Source organism: Homo sapiens, chromosome 10, assembly GCF_000001405.40.
Source record: "Homo sapiens chromosome 10, GRCh38.p14 Primary Assembly".
NCBI lineage: Eukaryota > Metazoa > Chordata > Mammalia > Primates > Hominidae > Homo > Homo sapiens.
The window spans coordinates 114,151,627-114,170,365 of NC_000010.11; the positions used below are offsets into that span (position 1 = coordinate 114,151,627).

The 18,739-nt window shown below is 38.0% G+C and overlaps 1 protein-coding gene across 6 annotated transcripts in view; it reads right to left on the minus strand.

Moving 5' to 3' along the window:
• The window catches only part of CCDC186 (coiled-coil domain containing 186), a 53,359-nt gene that overhangs the window by 30,765 nt on the left and 3,855 nt on the right, over nt 1-18,739 (minus strand). For 4 of the 6 annotated variants that reach the window (NR_135815.1, NM_001321829.1, NM_018017.4 and 1 more), the window contains 2 exons: nt 11,011-11,703; nt 5,928-6,054 (listed from right to left, as the gene is read on the minus strand). Coding sequence is in view for 5 of the 6 variants with exons in the window: in NM_001321829.1 (NP_001308758.1) it covers nt 5,928-6,054; nt 11,011-11,642 (759 nt within the window). In the remaining variant the exon portion in view is untranslated. Of the gene's footprint in view, nt 1-5,927; nt 6,055-9,981; nt 11,704-18,739 lie in introns of those variants that run through there. The other 2 variants (XM_011539915.4, NM_153249.1) reach the window with 2 other exon arrangements.

The window sequence follows — 18,739 nt, forward strand, 5'->3', positions numbered from 1 at the left end:
TATGTCTCACTGAGACTGTGAGTCATCCCTTTGTCCAGCATGTCTGCATTGTACACACTACCTGCCAGTTAGTCGCTTAGTAGCCATCTCAGTTACCAGACTGACTATGGCAGGACGACAGTGCTTGTGTGCAGCAACACTTAGCCCTTAATTAATAAGTGAGTTTACTTATTAGTGGCCCCAGAGTATAAGAATAGTGATGCTGGCAATTCACATGTGCCAAAGAGAGGCTTTAAAGTGCTTATTTTAAGTGAAATGGTGACTTGAAAGAAAAAAATCATATACTGAGGTTGCTAAGATCTACAGTAAGAATGAATCTTCTATCCATGAAACTGTGAAGAAGAAAAAAGAAATTCATGCTAGTTTTGCTGTCACACCTCAAACTTCAAAAGTTATGGCCACACTGCATAAGTACTTTGTTAAGACGGGAAAGGAGCCAGGTAGTGGCTTATGCCTGTAATCCCAGCACTTTGGAAAGCTGAGGAGAGGGAATTGCCTGAGGTCAGGAGTTCAAGACCAGCATGGTCAACACAGCAAGACCCAATCTCTACAAAAAATTTTAAAAATTAGCTGGGCATGGTGGTGCATGCCTATAGTCCCATCTACTCAGGAGGCTGAGGCAGGAAGATTGCTAGAGCCAAGGAGTTTGAGGCTACAGTGAGCTGTGATCCCACCATGGTACGCCAGCCAGAGTGATGAGACCCTGTCTCTGAAAAAAAAAAAAAAGGATGAAAAGGGCATTCACTTGTCAGGGGCAGACATAAACAGAAACATATTCTGATTGATGGCAATCGAGTTCAGTGCTATTGACAATTTCATGCATCTACTTAGGATCTTGGAATAAATTCCCCTCAGATAAGGGGGAACTCTGTACTGTATAGTGAAAATATCATGAAAGAAATTTAAATGTTATATTGGACAACATTCACTTAATGCAAAAGAAGGCAGTGAAGGAGGAATAGGGGAAGAAAAAAGACATGAAACATGGAAAACGAAAGATATGGCAGACATAAATCCCACCATCAATAATATTAAATGAAAGTGGATTTAATAATCCTATCAAAAGGCAGAAACTAACAGACTTAATTAAAGAAACAAGATTCAACTATATGTTGTCTATAGAAGGCATTTTAGGTTCAAAATGCAAGTAAACTGAAAAGAGTGGAAAAAAATATATAATGCAAACAGCAATCATAAGGAAGAGTGGCTATATTTACATAAAAAACAGACTAAAATTAAGAATGTTACCAGAGATAAAGAATAGCTCACAAAAATAAAACAGATCAAGCCATCAGAAAGATCTAACAGATAAATGTATATGCATCTAAGAATGTAGCATCAAAATATATGAGGCAAAAACTAACAGAAATAAAAGGGAAAATAAGTCAACAATAGTTGGAGACTTCACTATCCTACTTTCAATAATAAATAGAATTAGGCAGAAAATTAACACAGAAATAGGAGACTTAAACACTACAAAACAATGGAATCTAATACATCTATACAACACTCCACCCAGGAACAGCAGTGTATACGTTTTCATCTAGTGCACATGGAATATTCCATGACAGAGGATATGCTAGGTTACAAACAAACTTCCATAAATTTAAAAGATTAAAATCATATGAAGCATATTCTCCAACCATAATGGAATGAGACCTCAGTAACAGAAAGAAATATGGGAAATTCACAAATTTGTGAAAATTAAACCACATACTGCTAAAGAAACACAGAAGAAATTGCAAGGGAAATTAGAAAGTACTAGATGACTAATAAAAATGCAAACATAATATACCACAACTCAGGAGACACATCTAAAGGAATGCTTAGAGGAAAATTTATAACTACAAATACCTATATTAAAAAAGAAGAAAGGGGGCCAGGCGGGGTGGCTCAAGCCTGTAATCTCAGCACTTTGGGAGGCAGAGGCAGGAGGCTCACTTGAGGTCAGGAGTTCGAGACCAGCCTGGCCAACACTGTGAAACCCCGTCTCTACCAAAAATACAAAAATTAGCTGGGCATGGTGGCGGGTGCCTGTAATCCCAGCTACTTGGGAGGCTGAGGCAGGAGAATCGCTTGAACTCAGGAGGTGGAAGTTGCAGTAAGCCAAGATCACGCCACTGCACTCCGGTCTGGGTGACAAGAGCGAAATGACGTCTCAAAAAAAAAAAAAAAAAGAAGACAGGGTATCAAATTAATAACCTATACTTGCATCTTAAGACACCAGAAAAACAGCAAACTAAACCAAACACAAAGAGGAGGAAGAAAAAAATAAAAACTAGAATGGAAAAACAGAGACAAGGCCAGGTGAAGTGGCTCATGCCTGTAATCTCAGCACTTTGGGAGGCTGAGGCAGGTGGATCGCTTGAGCTCACAAGTTCGAGACGAGCCTGGGAAACATAGTGAAAACCCATCTCCACAAAAAAATACAAAAATTAGCTGGATGTGGTGATGCACGCCTGTAGTAGCAGCTACTCGGGAGGTTGAGGTGGGAGGATCACTTGAGCCTCATAGGTAGAGGTTGCAGTGAACCGAGATCGCAACATCGCACTCCAGCCTGGGTGAAACAGCCAGACCTTGTCTCAAAAAAAAAAAAAAAAAGAAAAGAAAAAGAAAAACAGAGACAACAAACAAAACCAAAAACTGGTTCTCTGAAAAGATGAAGAAAACTGACAAACCTTTAGCTGGAATGACTGAAGAAAAAAGAAAGATGACTGAAATTACTAGAATCAAAATGAAAGAGGGACATTACTACTGACCTTATAGAAATAAAAATAATTGAATAAATAAATAGTATGAACAATTTAACTTAGAGACAAAATGAACAATTCCTAGAAAGACACAAACTACCAAAACTGTCTCAAGAAGAAATAGAAGATCTGAATAGACCTATAACAAGTAGAGACTGAATTAGCATAATAAAAAAGAACAACAACAACAAAAACCTACCCACAAAGAAAAATTCAGTCCCAGGTGGCTACACAGGTAAAATTCTTTAAAACAATTAAAGAAGAATACCAATTCTTCACAAATTTTTGCTCTTCCCCCAAAAAGTAACACTTCCCAACTCACTCTATTAATTCCTAGGTATACACCCAAGAGAAATGAAAGCATATGTACACATAAAAACTAGCACGTGAATGTTCACAGTGGTATTATTCATAATAGTCAAATGGCAGAAACAACCCATTTTCCCATGTCCATCAACTGATGAAGGGGTAAACAAAATATTAAAACATCAAATATCTATATAATGAACTACTATTCAATCATTAAAAACAATGAAGTACTGATACATGCTACAACTTGAATGAAATCTTAAAAACACTATGTTAAATAAAAGAAGCTAGATAAAAAGGGGTACCTATTATATAATTCCATTTATATGAAACGTCCAGAACAGGCAAATATATAGAGACCGAAAGATTACTTGTTCCCTAGGGCAGGGTTGAGGGAGTACTGTTGGAGGCAAATGAGAAGTGACTACTAATGTGTGTTGCATTTCTTTTTGGGGTGATGACATGTTCTAAAATTGTGGTAAAGGTTGCACAGGTAAAAGTCACTGAATTGTACACTTAAAATAAGTGAACTGTGTGGAAAGTTAATTATATCTCAATAAACCTGTTGAAAAAGACCTAAATCTTATAGTACACATATACTAATTTTCCTTATTACAAAATTATCTAGAGCAACACTGAGCAATAGAAGTACAAGCCACATGTGGAATTTAAACTTTCTAGTAGTCACACTTTAAAAAGTAAAAAGAAGCTGGGCGCAGTGGCTCACGCCTGTAATCCCAGCACTTTGAGAGGCCAAGATGGGCAGATCACCTGAGGTCAGGAGTTCAAGACTGGCCTGGCTAACATGGTGAAACCCTGTCTCTACCAAAAATATAAAAACTAGCCAGGCTTGGTGGCGGGCCCCTGTAATCCCAGCTTCTCAGGAGGCTGAGGCAGAAGAATCGCTTGAACCTGGGAGGTAGTGGTTGCTATGAGCCGAGATCGCGCCATTGCACCCCAGCCTGGGCAACAAGAGCGAAACCCCATCTCAAAGATAAAATAAAATAAAATAAAATAAAAAATAAAAATTACAAACAAGTGAGTTTATTAAACCCAATATATCCAAATATTATCATTCCAATATTATCAATCCACATGAAAAAAATGAGCTGTTTTATTTTTATACTAACTCTTCTAAGTTACATGTGTATTTTACACTTACAGCACCTCTCAATTTAGACTAGCTACCTTTGAAGTGCTCAATAGCTATATGCAGCTGGTGGATGCCACATTAGATAGTGCAGATCTAGAAATAAAATAAAGAAGGAAAAGCTTTTCTCTTTAAAAACAACAACAACAACAAAAAAAGCCCACTAATAAGCTCATGAAAGGAAGGGCTCTGGTTCCATTGTACCTGTTCGGTCTGAAGTTTCTGGTCATTGAGTGACCTGACTACCGAAATATGGATTTAGCCTGTTAAGACTCCCTCACACTTTACCATTCTAACTCTGGTTTATATGTGGGGACCCTAGAGCACATAAAAATCAGGATTAAATACATACAATTTTACAAATACAGTCACCTTCCAATCATGCATCAAGTGAAAAATTGTTTTACCAATTGTTTACTGTTATTTTCATTATATAACTTTCTTTGAAAGATGAGACAAAATACTTTTAAGGCTAGAATGCTTCTAATCCTGTTCACAGAAGAAAAAGCACCTCAAAAATAAAGAGCAACTCAGCTTTCCTATTAGTCTGAATACTCACTTTGTTGATTCATGCATCAGAGGAGTTCATTTAAAAACTAGAAAGAGGCCAGGGGCAGTGGTTCATGCCTGTAATCCCAGAACTGGGAGGCCAGGCCAAGGCAAGTGGATCACCTGAGGTCAGGAGTTCAAGACCAGCCTAGCCAACACGGTGAAACCCTGTCTCTAATAAAAATACAAAAATTGGCTGGGTGTGGTTGGTGGCCGCCTATAATCCCAGGTACTCCCGAGGCTGAGGCAGAAGAATCACTTGAACCCAGGAGGCAAAGATTGCAGTGAGCTGAGATTGTGCCACTGAATTCCACCCTGGGTGACAAGAGCAAAACTCTGTCTCAAAGAAAAAACAAAAAATAAATTAAAAAAAAGAAGGAAAAGGACAGGCTAGGAAAGCCAGTAAGCCAGATACAATCTAAAGTATGACAGCCAGCCTTCACAATATAGTTTTTAAAAATACTGAGAATGGAACCATACCAAAATATAAACTTAAAAACATCCTAATGCCAGACATAAACTTTTATATTTCCATTGCTTCCTCCCTGTTGGCAACAACAGTCTAGTTGACTGTCAACTCAAATCGTCTTTTTGCTTATTTTGAACATAACAGAGTATGTTCTACTACATGCAGTACAGGAGTCACATGCATAAGAATAAACTTACATAAAAGGAAATACATCAGGCTATGAGTCCTACTTTGTAAAGGAGAATGGTTTAAATGCCATGCAATTCTCTGCATTTAAAATATGATTTACCTTATAGAACTCCAACCTACATGCAAGTTTTCAGAATTTTTTTTTTTTTTTTTTTTTTTGAGACAAGGTCTCACTCTCTCACCCAGGCTGGAGTACAGTGGCACGATCTCAGCTCACTGCTGCCTCAATCTCCCCGGCTCCAGTGATCCACCCACCTCAGCCTCCTTAGTAGCTGAGATTACAGGCGCATGCTACCATATGCAGCTAATTTTCTATTTTTTTTTTTTTTTGTAGAGACAGGGTTTCACCATGTTGCCCAGGCTGGTCTCAAACTCCTGGGCTCAAGTAATCCGCCCACCTTGGCCTCCCAAAGTGCTACGATTACAGGCATGAGCTGCCACAATCGGCTGCCAGGAATGTATTTATTTTATTAATTGAAGTATAGTCTTCGAAGATTTTTGTCTTTTTTACCTGTTTAATTGTGTTCATATGCTGCTTCTCAGTTTCTGTTCTTTTCTTTAGTTCTTCTCTTAAATTGTCTTTTTCTGAACAAATGTCTACGAAGAGCTCCTGATGCTTCTTATTTTCTTTAATTAACCTAAATATAAAAAGGGCAGTGTATGTAAAACATAATTTAAAATGGAGATAAAATAATATGTGGAATATAATTTCTTTACAGATCAGGGTACAGATATCTATAATTATTCATTATGTTAATAAATTAACATTCCTAAATAATCATTTTATAGTGAAACATAATACTTTGCAAAAGATTCTCTGGCCCATTAGGCTATTAACTTTTCCCTAGAAATATGAATATTTCAAATCAAAATAGAATCATATGAATGAAAAGCACACCCTTCCAGATTTATACCTTCAGGTATCTCAATTATGCACCAATCCTGTCAGCACTGGCACTCTTCAAATAAGTGGTTCTCAGCCACGGGCAATTTTGCCCTTCCAGGCATTTGTCTGAAGACATTTTTGGTTGTCCTAACAAGGGTAGGGGCTGCTACTGGCATCTAGTGGATGGAGGCCAGGGATGCTGCTAAACATCCTACAATGCACAAGACAACTCCAACAACAACAAAGAATCTGGCCCCAAGTGGCGATACTGCTAAAGTTGAAAAGTCTTGCTTCAGATTTTAAAAATATTTTAATGATAGTCTAATAGTTATAATGTACAGTCAATGTAAAACAGCAAAATAAAATCTAAGCAGAAATATCATCTTGAATTCCCCTAGAAAAACAGAAATAAAGTCTCAAAAACTGCCTGCAAAGTGCTTAGAAATGTAAGATGCCTAAGAAAGCTAACAGCAAGTACTCTAGGACTAATTAGCAATAGCTGTAACCTAACATTTATTGCACACTTGCTATTGGCTAAATTTAGCTTTTTTAATTTAAAAAAGTGTATTATTTCATTTAGTATTCAAAATAAGTCTATGAAATTATTATCATTACCATCACTTCTGTTTTACGAATTAAAAAAAAAAAAAACTAGTTAGGCATGATGGCTCATGCCAGGAGTCCCAGGAAAAGCACTTGATCCCAGGAGTTCCAGGCTGCAGTGAGCTCCACTGCACTCCTGCCTGGGCAACAGAATAAGACCTTTGTCTCTAAAAATAAAATAAAAATATTAACAGCAAAACAAAACTGAAGCCTAAGACTTGTTCCAGGTCACACAGCTAGTAAGCAGTTGAACTTTCAATTTTGTTTTGGATCCAGGTATACTTCCAAAGCCCCAGGCCTTTCCACCTTCTACTTTGAAGATCACTCATTAACTCAACCAGTACTTACTCAGCATCTATTTTATGTGGGAAATATGTCAGCAAATAGTCCCTGCCCTCGTGGAACTTACATTCTAGGGGATAAAATAAAAATGGACCCTAGATATATAATAAAATGTCAGCTGGTGATTAAATCCTATTAAGAAAAATAAAGGAGAGCGAAAAGCCAGAGAGTGACTTGAGCTGCTATTTTAGATAAGTAGTCTAGATAGGCCTCTCTGAGAAGGTGACAGCTGAGCCTAGGAATCAGTGAGGAAACAATCATACAAATGTTTGGAAAAAAGGCAAATATATGCATGTTTATTCAAGCCTTTTATGACACAGTGGTTTAACTTAGATCATTTATGTGAGGCATACTCAATTGCTACAGAAAACTACTTGAGACACAAGAGTCCTGCCTATAGTTCACAAGTGAACAACAAAGGGAGGGGGAAGTGAAAAGCAGTAAACACTCAATTTGTTACTTATGTGCCAAATGCATATTCTATATACAGACAACTGTTCTTAATTAAGAATTTTGGTCCCAGCACTTTGGGAGGTGGAGGCGGGTGGATCATGAGGTCAAGAGACCGAGACCACCCTGGCAAACATGGTGAAACCCCGTCTCTACTAAAAATACAAAAATTAGCTGGGTGTGGTAGGGCGTGCCTGTAGTCCCAGCTACTCAGGAGGCTGAGGCAGGAAAATCGCTTGAACCTGGGAAGCGGAGGTGGCAGTGAGCCAAGATCCGCCACTGCACTCTAGCTCAGTGACAGAGCGAGACTCCGTCTCAAAAAAAAAAAAAAAAAAAAAAAAGAATTTTAGGCTAGGCACAGTGGTGCATGCCTGTAATCCTGGCACTTTGGGAGGCCAGTGTGGGTGGATAGCCTGAGTTCTGGAGTTCCAGACTAGCCTGGGCAACATCGTGAAACCCCATCTCTAAAACAAAAAAACCACAAAAGTATTAGCTGAGCCTAGTGGTGCGCACCTGTTGTCCAAGCTACTTGGGATGCTGAGGTGGGAGGACAACTTGAGCACAGGAGGTTGACGCTGCAGTGAGCTGAGATCACACCCACTACACTCCAGCTTGGGCAAGAGAGCAAGACCCTATCTCAAAAAAATAAAATAAAGAATTTTTGGGCCAGGCGCAGTGGCTCACGCCTGTAATCCCAGAACTTTGGGAGGCTGAGGCAGGTAGATCACTTGAGGTCAGGAGTTCAAGACCAGCCTGGCCAACATGGCAAAACCCTGTCTCTACTAAAAATACAAAAATTAGCCGGGTGTAGTGGTAGGCACCTGTAGTCCCAGCTACTTGGGAGCCTGAAGTAGGAGAATTGCTTGAATCCAGGAGGCAGAGGTTGCAGTGAGCTGAGGTCGCGCCACTGCACTCCAGCCTGTGTGACACAGCACAACTCCACCTCAAAAAAAAAAAAAAAATTTGGTTGGAACCTTAGACAGTAATATTGATGTGTTCAAAAATCAAAGAACAGAAATAAAGAGAAGAATGGTGCTTGCCAGGGCACAGGGGGTGAGGGAAAAGGGGAGATATTGGCCAAAGCCTACAGACTTTTCAGTTATAAAATGAGTAAGTTCTGGGGATCTAATATACTCCATGGTGATAACAGTTAATAATATCATATTGTACACTTGAAATTTGTTTAGACAGTAGATCTTAAATGTTCTCACCACACACACACAAAGGTAACTGTGATGTGACCGATGTGGTAACTAACTTGATTGTGGTAATCATTTCACGATGTATATCAAATCATCACATTGTACCTCTTTAAATATATACAATTTTATCAGTTATATTTCAATAAAGCTGGGGGAAAAATGAGGGAATGTATAAACAAAGATTTGGAAATAGATGCATTCATTAAAATTTCAAAGAAAGTAAAAGGAAGTTTTCTTCATAGAAAATTAGATGAAGAAAAAAGTTAAGAAAAAAATTTAGTTGTTTTAGAGTTAACCTGACTCACAAAGTATTTTATTTGGAATTAAAAACATCATGTGTATAACCAAAAATTAACCTTGATTTAAAATAACATCTGACATTTGTGTAATGTCCTAATGTCCACAAACAGTTCCATCAGGTAAGTATTGTCACTCTAAGGTGAAAAATCTTTCACTCAAAGAGGTTGACTTGGCCAAGACAACAGAGCTGGCAAATGCCAATGGGTATCTTCCAAATACCAGACATCAGAATTATGATTATTCCACTCACCCGTGCTGTCACTGTTCTGACAGGATGAAGCAAAAAAGAGAAACCAATTTTCTACCCTATTCCTCATATTTTTAGGTAAATTTAACACCTTGTAACTGGTTCATTTCTAATAACCGTATTTGAAAAAGCTCTAAAGCTCCACTCACAAAGCTCAGATTTTAACTTTGCATTTGTTAGCATGTGGCCTTGAGCAAGTTACTTTTTCTCTCTCTGCGCTTCAGGTAACTCATCTGTACAATGGGGATAACAGCACATGTCACAGAGAGTTCTTGTGAAGAATCCATGAACTAATAAATGTAATATACCAGGCACCTAATTATCAGCATATACATGTTTACTGCTATTATTATTAAATGTATAACATCTTATAATTTATAAGGGAGGTATGAAAATGGTAAGAGTCTAGATCTCAGTAAAGTGGGAAGAGGCATCAGAGATAATCTCAAGAGGAAGGTCTAAAAGAATAGGTACAGGCTACAGGAAAATGAGAAAGTTACCCTATAAAATGCAAGAATAGCAGCAGCACTGATGGTTCAAGTACAAAAGCATACAGTTTATTCACATAATATAGTATTACAGTAAGGATATGAATAGCAACAGCAGGCATTTGTTTGGGGGTAATATCAAGAAGGGCCTTGGAGTCTTGAAGAGATACTTGCAAACCCAAGTTCACAGTAGCATTATTAACAACAGCCAAAAAGCAGAAGGAACCCAGATGTCCATTAATGGATGAATAAACAAAATGTGGTATATACATACAATGCAATATTATTGAGCCTTAAAAAGAAATGAAATTCTGACATGTTACAACATGGATAAATGAGGACATTAGGCTAAATGAAATAAGCCAGTCATGAAATGAAAAGTATATGATTTCACCTACATGAGGTATCATGAGTAGTCAAACTCAGCAACAGAAAGTAGAATGGTGGTTGCCAGGGACTGAGGGCAAGTGGAAATAGTGTTGTTTAACGAATACAGTGTTTCAGATTTGCAAAGTGAAAAAGTTCTGCAGATTGGTTGTCCAACAGTGTGAATATATAATAACACTACTGAAACGTACACATAAAAATGGTTAAGATGGTAAATTTTAAACTATCATGAAAACAGAACTTCACATATCCAAAACTGTATTATTATTTACTGAACGATAATCAATTATTCTGTTCTCTAAATTTTAATGTTTTAAACCAATGAATTTAGAATGCAGATTTTAAGAAAAAGTTGTGGAATTTTATGACTTGTTATTTCCTTTTGAGTTTCTCTTAGTTTTGACAATATACTTCTACATTCTTTCAAAAGTGAAAAATTTTGAGTTGTCTATAAAAATTTCTAGCACGTTAATACATTTACACTATTTAACATATTGAACTCAGATATCTGAAAAACTCGACATTTGCTCACACATTCAGCAACTATACATTTATTGTTCAACTACTATGTGCATGATTCTAATGTGCAAGTAAAAATGAACAAAATGGTATTTTCCTTTAAAGAATTTTATCTCGAATCCCTGTGCCTGTGAGGGAAAAAAAATAACCTAAAGGTATAAAAAACTTACTTTTTTATGATATGTTCCTGCTGCAAATATTTATCTTGCACACACTTTTCAAACAGAACTAATGCATGTTCTCCCTTATTCATTCCATTTGGTACTCGATGTTCTGCAAACTCCGTAGATAAGAGCTCAGATTCTATTTCTTCCAACAAATCCTCTGATGCTGAAACGCTCTTTATTTTTGAAATAAATTTCTTGGTGCAGTCTGTATCATAGGGGCTTTCTGAATAAGTCTTTTCATTAGCTGATTCTGGAAATGTAGATGACCTTAATTCCACCAATATTTGTGTTACTTTCTGTTCTGTTTCATTTGTTTTTGAAATATGTTTAGCAAAATTTCCACTAGGAAAATTAGCTATTTGTTCAGAATTTTCTGAGCCTGTGTCTGTTTTGGCACAAGAATCCTCACCTCCACCATGATCTGGAATATAATTTTCCTGGGCTTCAATTCGATTATTATGCTCATTAGGTTGACATAAAGTTTTATCAGTGTTTAATGACAATAGTTTGGACTCATTTTCTAATTTGCTGCTTTCATTGCCAGAAAACAAGTTGCATGAGTCTTCCTTTAATTCAGGTGTTTTCCCAACATTTTTATCAGAGGAAGTAGAGGCTATGTGGTCTGTCTCTGACATGCTGACTGGCACCAATTCACTTTGTAATTCTTCAAATCTGCTCCTGATCTTCGTTTTACATCTAAGAAATTGAAACATCAAAATTAAAAACCACTTTAAACCAAAACCCCATACAAACTTGCACACACTCTGTGATGTGGAATAACTAACACCACAAATTTTATCACTAACAATTCCTTTAAAAGCCTGTCCTTGAGAAAAAAGAAAAAGGACTAGGACAGCTAACCCAAGCTGGCTAGCTACAAGCAGTAGGGCCACTGCAAAGTCTGTCTTTCCTCCTTCATTTCAGTCAAACAACTTCATTAATTAATTTCAGTTGTAGTCTGGCATTCTCCAATCATCCCCATAAGATGTTAGGTAAGGAGTAACGCTAGCAACTAGACGAGTGCCAAAGAATGCTTAGAATTCCTTCAGCTCTGTAAAGAAAAAAAGACTACCTCATAAATCTGTAAGAAAATACTGGAGAAATAATACACCAATAAAAGCACTAGAAATCACAAACCAAGATAACAAAACAACGCACATTAAAGAAAATAAAAATTTACTAAGAAGGAAACCTAAATAACAAGACACAACTATCTATAGCCCAGAGATCTAGATTTGAGCCATAATGAAGTCAGGGTGTAAAGAATCCCTGGTAGAAATTAGTTTTTCATCCAGGCAGGAATCCAGGAAGTACCATGGTGATTTTCAAACATTCTCATCAGGAAAAAAACAATGTCCAGTACAAATAAAATGGAGCCCATATGCACTGCCTAGGTCAATAAAAGCAACTTTATTAATTTGACCAAGTTAGAGTGTGTGTGTGTGTGTGTGTGTGTGTGTGTGTGTGTGTATATATATATATTTTTTTTTTTTTTTTTTTTTTTGGGATAGAGTCTCACTGTCGTTGCCCGGGCTGGAGTGCAATGGTGAGATCTCGGCTCACTGCTACCTCTGCCTCCCAGGTTCCAGCAATTCTCCTGCCTCAGCCTCCCGAGTAGCTGAGACTACAGGTGCCCATCACTACACCTGGCTAATTTTTTGTATTTTTAGGAAGAGATAGGGTTTCACCAGGTTGGCCAGGCTGGTCTCAAACTCCTGACCTCAGGTGATCCACCTGCCTTGGCCTCCCAAAGTGCTGGAATTACAGGGGTGAGCCACCGCACCCGGCATAGGATAGATTTTTATATTGTTTATGGAGGTTACTATTCTAGCCATTTTATGACAATTAGTCATCTTCAAATATTATCCCACAACACATAATTATAAAATATTTCCACAATCTTGATAAAAAAAATTGTTGACTTCTTTTGTCAGGTATCAACAAAGCATGTACAAGGTAATGAGTTACTGAAACCATGTGAGGTTAGATTAAAAAGAGGACAGATCATAGTTTTGACAGAAATAACAGAGCAATAATTCCAGATAAGAGATATACTAATGGAAAATAGCTCTAGTTTATACATGAGATATAAACTAATGGAAAACTAATGGAGAGATATACTAAATTTTTAAATAACAAAACATGCATGGTTACATCAGGCTGGGATAAAGGTGGTTATCAGAGGATGATGAAAAGAGAGAGAGAAGACTGGTCAGGTAGATTCCATAGAAGGCTAAGCAGGAGTGAATTTTGTTAAGAACAAATCATAGTAAATCACAGTGACTTGTAGACTTAATTACAGTGCAGAGTTTCTAGCACATAGTGGGTTCTCAAATATTTGTTTAATTAAAGCCTGTAAGCACAGAAATGGTAACACTAGTATTTGAGAAACATTATTCTAGGAATGTCGAAAATGGGAGGAATAAGTGTAAGAAAGGAAAAGTAGACCAGCTTGTTTGCTAAATATGCTAATTTCTAGACTGCCCTCTGGGGCATCAACTAAGACAGCCATTGGCCTAAATACTCTACCTCTCTGTATAAATATGTTTCCAAACAACCAAATTATCATTATTTTGCTGCAGATATTTTATAACCAAGCCAAAGCACACACTAGTATTAAAGGCTTGGTTTAGACAATACAAATAAACGGAGTAAATAAAAGACCTCGTAAGTACTCTGTATTCCAAAATCTAGGACAAAATAAAATAATTCTCAAACAGAGGCACTGCCACCTACATTACCTCACCCAAAGTAACTCACTTTAAGATATAACTTGTGGGCTGGGCGTGGTGGCTCACGCCTGTAATCCCAGTACTTTGGGAGGCCAAGGAGGGCAGATCACAAGGTCAGGAGTTCAAGACCAACCTGGCCAAGACGACGAAACCCTGTCTCTACTAAAAATACAAAATTAGCTGGGCGTGGTGGCAGCCGCCTGAAATCCCAGCTACTCGGGGAGCTGAGGCAGAGAACTGCTTGAACCCGGAAGGCAGAGGTTGCAGTGAGCCAAGATTGCGCCACTGCACTCCAGCCTGGGCGACGGAGCGAGACTCTGTCTCAAAAAAAAATTAGCCGGGCATTATGGTGGGTGCCTGTAATCCCAGCTACTCGGGAGGCTGAGACAGGAGAATCGCTTGAACCCAGGAGGCGGAGGTTGTAGTGGGCCAAGATCGTGCCATTGCACTCCAGCCTGGGCAACAGAGCGAGACACTTTGTCTCAAAAAAAAAAAAAGTAAGGAGAGGGAGCACATCTTTGAGTCAAATTATACCTCTTCATGCCAAGCAGCTGGGAACAGCTTCAACTTTTCTTCAGAGAAAACAATGAGTTTGTGACTTCATTTTTTTTTTAATGGCTAGAACCTGTCTTAATTTCTGGAATAAGTTTTTTGTAGTAACCAAAAGTGGCGGCAAAGTTACATCGGACCAAGGGATTCTTAAAGGACTGCACTGCAGAGGAAAGTACAGAGGTTAGGAGTGTTTTACACTGTATGACTGGAGACCCAGTAAGGAAAAAATAAAACCATTTCACGTTTATACCCAGATTTAAGATTCCTCAGTAAACCAGTTGTACTACTTTTCCATTCTTATCTCTCAACACATTCCTGAAATCCTGGCACTCCATCATACTTTACTAGCCCAACCAGTCTAACTCAAAGATTCCCCCAACTTGCGTATTAACATTTCAATGGCTTTGTTCTCAACTAGAATGTTCTTCCCTTAGGTCTATCTGAAGTCTATGTTTAAAGGACCAATTCTAATGTCACATCTTCCTCCAAATTTTCTCTCATCACAAGTACAAAAATAGTCTCTCAGGGTAAATTTAAAAACACTGCATTTACACTCATCAAGCACATAGAGCCTTTCTTGTGACCTTTTTGAAGAGGCAGCATTTAGCCTTTTAAATGATCTTTGTACTTGCACGAAGATGGAACCTCCCTCTGAACTGAATCAAACTCTTAAGTCTCATGCAATATGACAGTAATAATAAATCTAACAAACATATTCTCTACTACATTTACACGCATTTTTGCAAATGCTCTTCAGTGGCTATACAAATGAAGGTGGGGTCAACTGGGTTTACACAGTGATCTAGGGAGCAAACAGCATTCAGTGGATGGAAAACAGGTTGTAAGATGACAATGTGGAAGACAGTATAGAACAACAAAAACGTGTCATCCTGCTGGATATTCATCTAGATTTAAAAAGCTGTTTATTTGGTTACCTAAGCTTAGAATGTTTTACATATCCTCCTCCTGTAAATTAAGGAAGACTCAGATTAACCTCAAAAGGCAAGTACTTTCTGTAACTTCTGTCAGCAATATGCTCATGACTTTAAGAAAAATCATGTAAATTGGCATGTGATAACTACTTAGCTTGCAAGCTGGTTTTTTTTTTTTTTTTTTTTTTTAAAGATGGAGTCTCGCTCTGTTGCCAAGCTGGAGTGCAATGGCGCGATCTCGGCTCACTGCAACCTCTGACTCCCTGGTTCAAGCTATTCTCCTGCCTCAGCCTCCCAAGTAGCTGGGATTACAGGCACGAGCCACCATGCCCAGCTAATTTTTGTATTTTCAGTGTAGACGGGGTTTCACCATGTTGGCCAGGATGGTCTCAATCTCTGGACCTCGTGATCCACCCGCCTCGGCCTCCCAAAGTGCTTGCACACCTTCTGATGATGTTCAAATGAATACTGTTTGGCAGCCAAAGGAAAAGGAGGGGATTAACAATGGTCTATGTGTATATACGTAACAAAGCCATCACCATAAATAGCTGCACAAGAGTGGTAGCAGATGGGGAGAAAAAGCAATGAACTTGATTATGTCCACAATTAACCAGAAGAAAAACAGTAAGCTGAGTCCTCATGTAGGCCTCCAGTTGACAATACTGATACAAGCCAATTTGGTTGCTGTCCAAGCTTTTTTGGGGGAGAGAGGTATGGGGTAAAAGGGGAGCCGTCATCGAGGCTACTAAGGATAGAATGGCAAGTAGTAGACTAAAGGGGAAGGATGTAAAACAAGACATTAGTTGGCAAGATTATTTTAATTTAAGAAGTGCTGATACACTGGGGGTGCAGCATGTAATCCCAACACTTTGGAAGGCTGATGTGGAAGGATTTATTGCGCCCAGGAGTTTGAGACCAGCCTGGGCAACATAACAAGACCTAATCTCCGTAAAAAAAAAAAAAAAAAAAAAAAAAAAATTGTTAAAGTTAGCTGGGCATGGTGGCATGCACCTGTAGTCCCAGCTACTCAGAAAGCTGAGATGGGAGGATCACTTGAGTCCAGGAGTTCAAAGCTGCAATGAGCTATGATGGCACCACTGTACTCCAGCCTGAGCAAGAGTGAGACTCGTTCTCTAAGAAAAAGAAATGCTTGTACAAAGCAAATTTACACTCATATATATATATAGTAATTACAATTATAGATTATAATACCTTTTAGCAACTCTTACTCATTAGGAGAAATACTATAATACAGTACAGTCACAAAATTCCTTTTAACTCAAATACTTTTTCTCCCTTAGAGTTGTTTCTGTTTCTGACACAGTACTACAGGACCAATTCACACTTCGAAATCATTTCAGTGGGTGAGAACTGGTTTCGCTCTTACTGGAGCTCATCAGCTGTAGGCAACTGGTCAAGAAACAATTTTTTACTTGCCTTAAAGTCAACCATTACCCACTCTGGAACTTATTTTTTAATGAAAGAACTCACATTTCTACAAAATTATTTCCATACAAGAGCCACGTAAATGAAAACACTGTCTTCTGGTTCCATTTCCTGTTTTTCTAATTAGCAGTATAAACAACAAAAAATTTAGGTTTGATAAACTGCAAATATTGCCCCTATATATAACATCACTATTGTAAAATCTAAGATTGGTTCAAGGTATTTTTCAGACCCTGCATTTTGATGGACCAGCTGATGCCTGCCACCTGGACCACTAAACTGGCTCGACTGGTCTTGTGACTTGGCACAAGAAGACAGCCTCAACCCCTTATGAGTCATCCCCGACCCAACCAATCAGCATTCCCCATTCCCTAGCCCCCTGCCCACCAAATTATCCTTAAAAAACCCTAGTCTCCTAATTTTCAGGGAGATTGGTTTGAGTAATTAACTTCTTACTACTACTTGGCTGCCTCTGCATTTCTTAAAACTTTCTCTATTGCAATACTGCTGTCTCAGTAAACTGCCTCTATCTGTGCAGCAGGCAAGAACCTGTCAGGCGATTACAAACTCACAGATATTCAGTAACAGGTTATCAAACAAACTAGTCTCATGCAAAGGTACTAAGAGATACATTTCCAAACTAGATGTTCATTTTTACCAAATACATATTGAGCATCTATTAATATGTATTCTAGGTGTTGGGAACATGGCAGTGAATAAAACAGAAATCCTCATTTTATTCTTCGTGTTTTACTGCCAATAAACACTACAGTATTATGAATTCTACAGTATTTAATGTTACAGTATTTTAACTTTAAGGTTTGCCAGGGCTCCATCAGAAGCTAAGTAAGAAATGCAGAAGTGTTTTAAGTATATTAAGAGAAATTTGGCTTCATTCACAGACTATAAATTTTTAAATTATAAACTGTAGTACCATTCTTTTTTTTTTTTTTTTTTTTTTTTCTTAAAAATGGAGTCTCACTCTGTCACCCAGGCTGGAATGCAGTGGTGCCATCTTAGCTCACTGCAACCTCTGCCTCCTGGGTTCCAGCGATTCTCCCGCTCAGCCTCCCAAGTAGCTGGGATTACAGGGTTGTGCCATCACACCCAGCTAATTTTTGTATTTTTAGTAAAGATGGGGTTTCACCATGTTGGCCAGGCTCTCTGGAACTCCTGACCTCAAGCAATCCACCAGCCTCAGCCTCCCAAAGTGCTGGGATTACAGGCATGAGCCCCTGCGCCCAGCCCATACCATTCTTAAATAATACCAGTTGTACACTTCTCAAGTAATATCCATTAAGCAAACTGAACTTGAGACCACTCCTGTTCTTCAATATAATGGTTTATTGTCCTTTGTAGGAAAAGTACCTACATCAAAAGAGTTTGTATTCTCCAAAAACACCTTGAAAGCAGCATAAACAAAAGAATAACATCTTTCTGACTAGTTCTATCAAGATTGATATTGTAATTAATGTCAGAAGTAAAATCAAATCAAAAACGCATCCACACAGTTCAATGTAACCTGCTCACAACCCCCAAATAACTGACTTTTGATAAATAATTAACTTTAAAAGATACTTTCTGGATAAAGCTAGCTACCTACTTATTTATTTATGTGTAGAAACAGGGTCTCATTCTGTCATTCAGGCTGGAATGCAGTGGCTCAATCATAGGTCACTGCAGCTTCAAACTTCTGGGCTCAAGCAATCATCCCACTTAAGCCTCCCAAGTAGATAAGACTACAGGTGCATGCCACCATACCCAGATAATATTTTTAACTTAGCTTTTTAAAAACAGAATAATAGGATGGAAAAGAACTTGTGTATGAAACATGAAAATGTTGTTTCACATGATGAAAATACCTGACACTTAAGTTTCATACAAGGTGAATTTATGCAGATCAAATTCTGCTTTTAAAAGATAAAAACTGAGAGGGCTATTTCAAAAAAAAAACTGTAAATAAGTTCTACAAAAAGAAATAATTTTTAAAGTAGTCACATCCTATTAAGCTTTTGGGTAAAAGCTAACTTTTTATTATTAGAAACTATTAGAAACAGGGTCTTTTTCTGT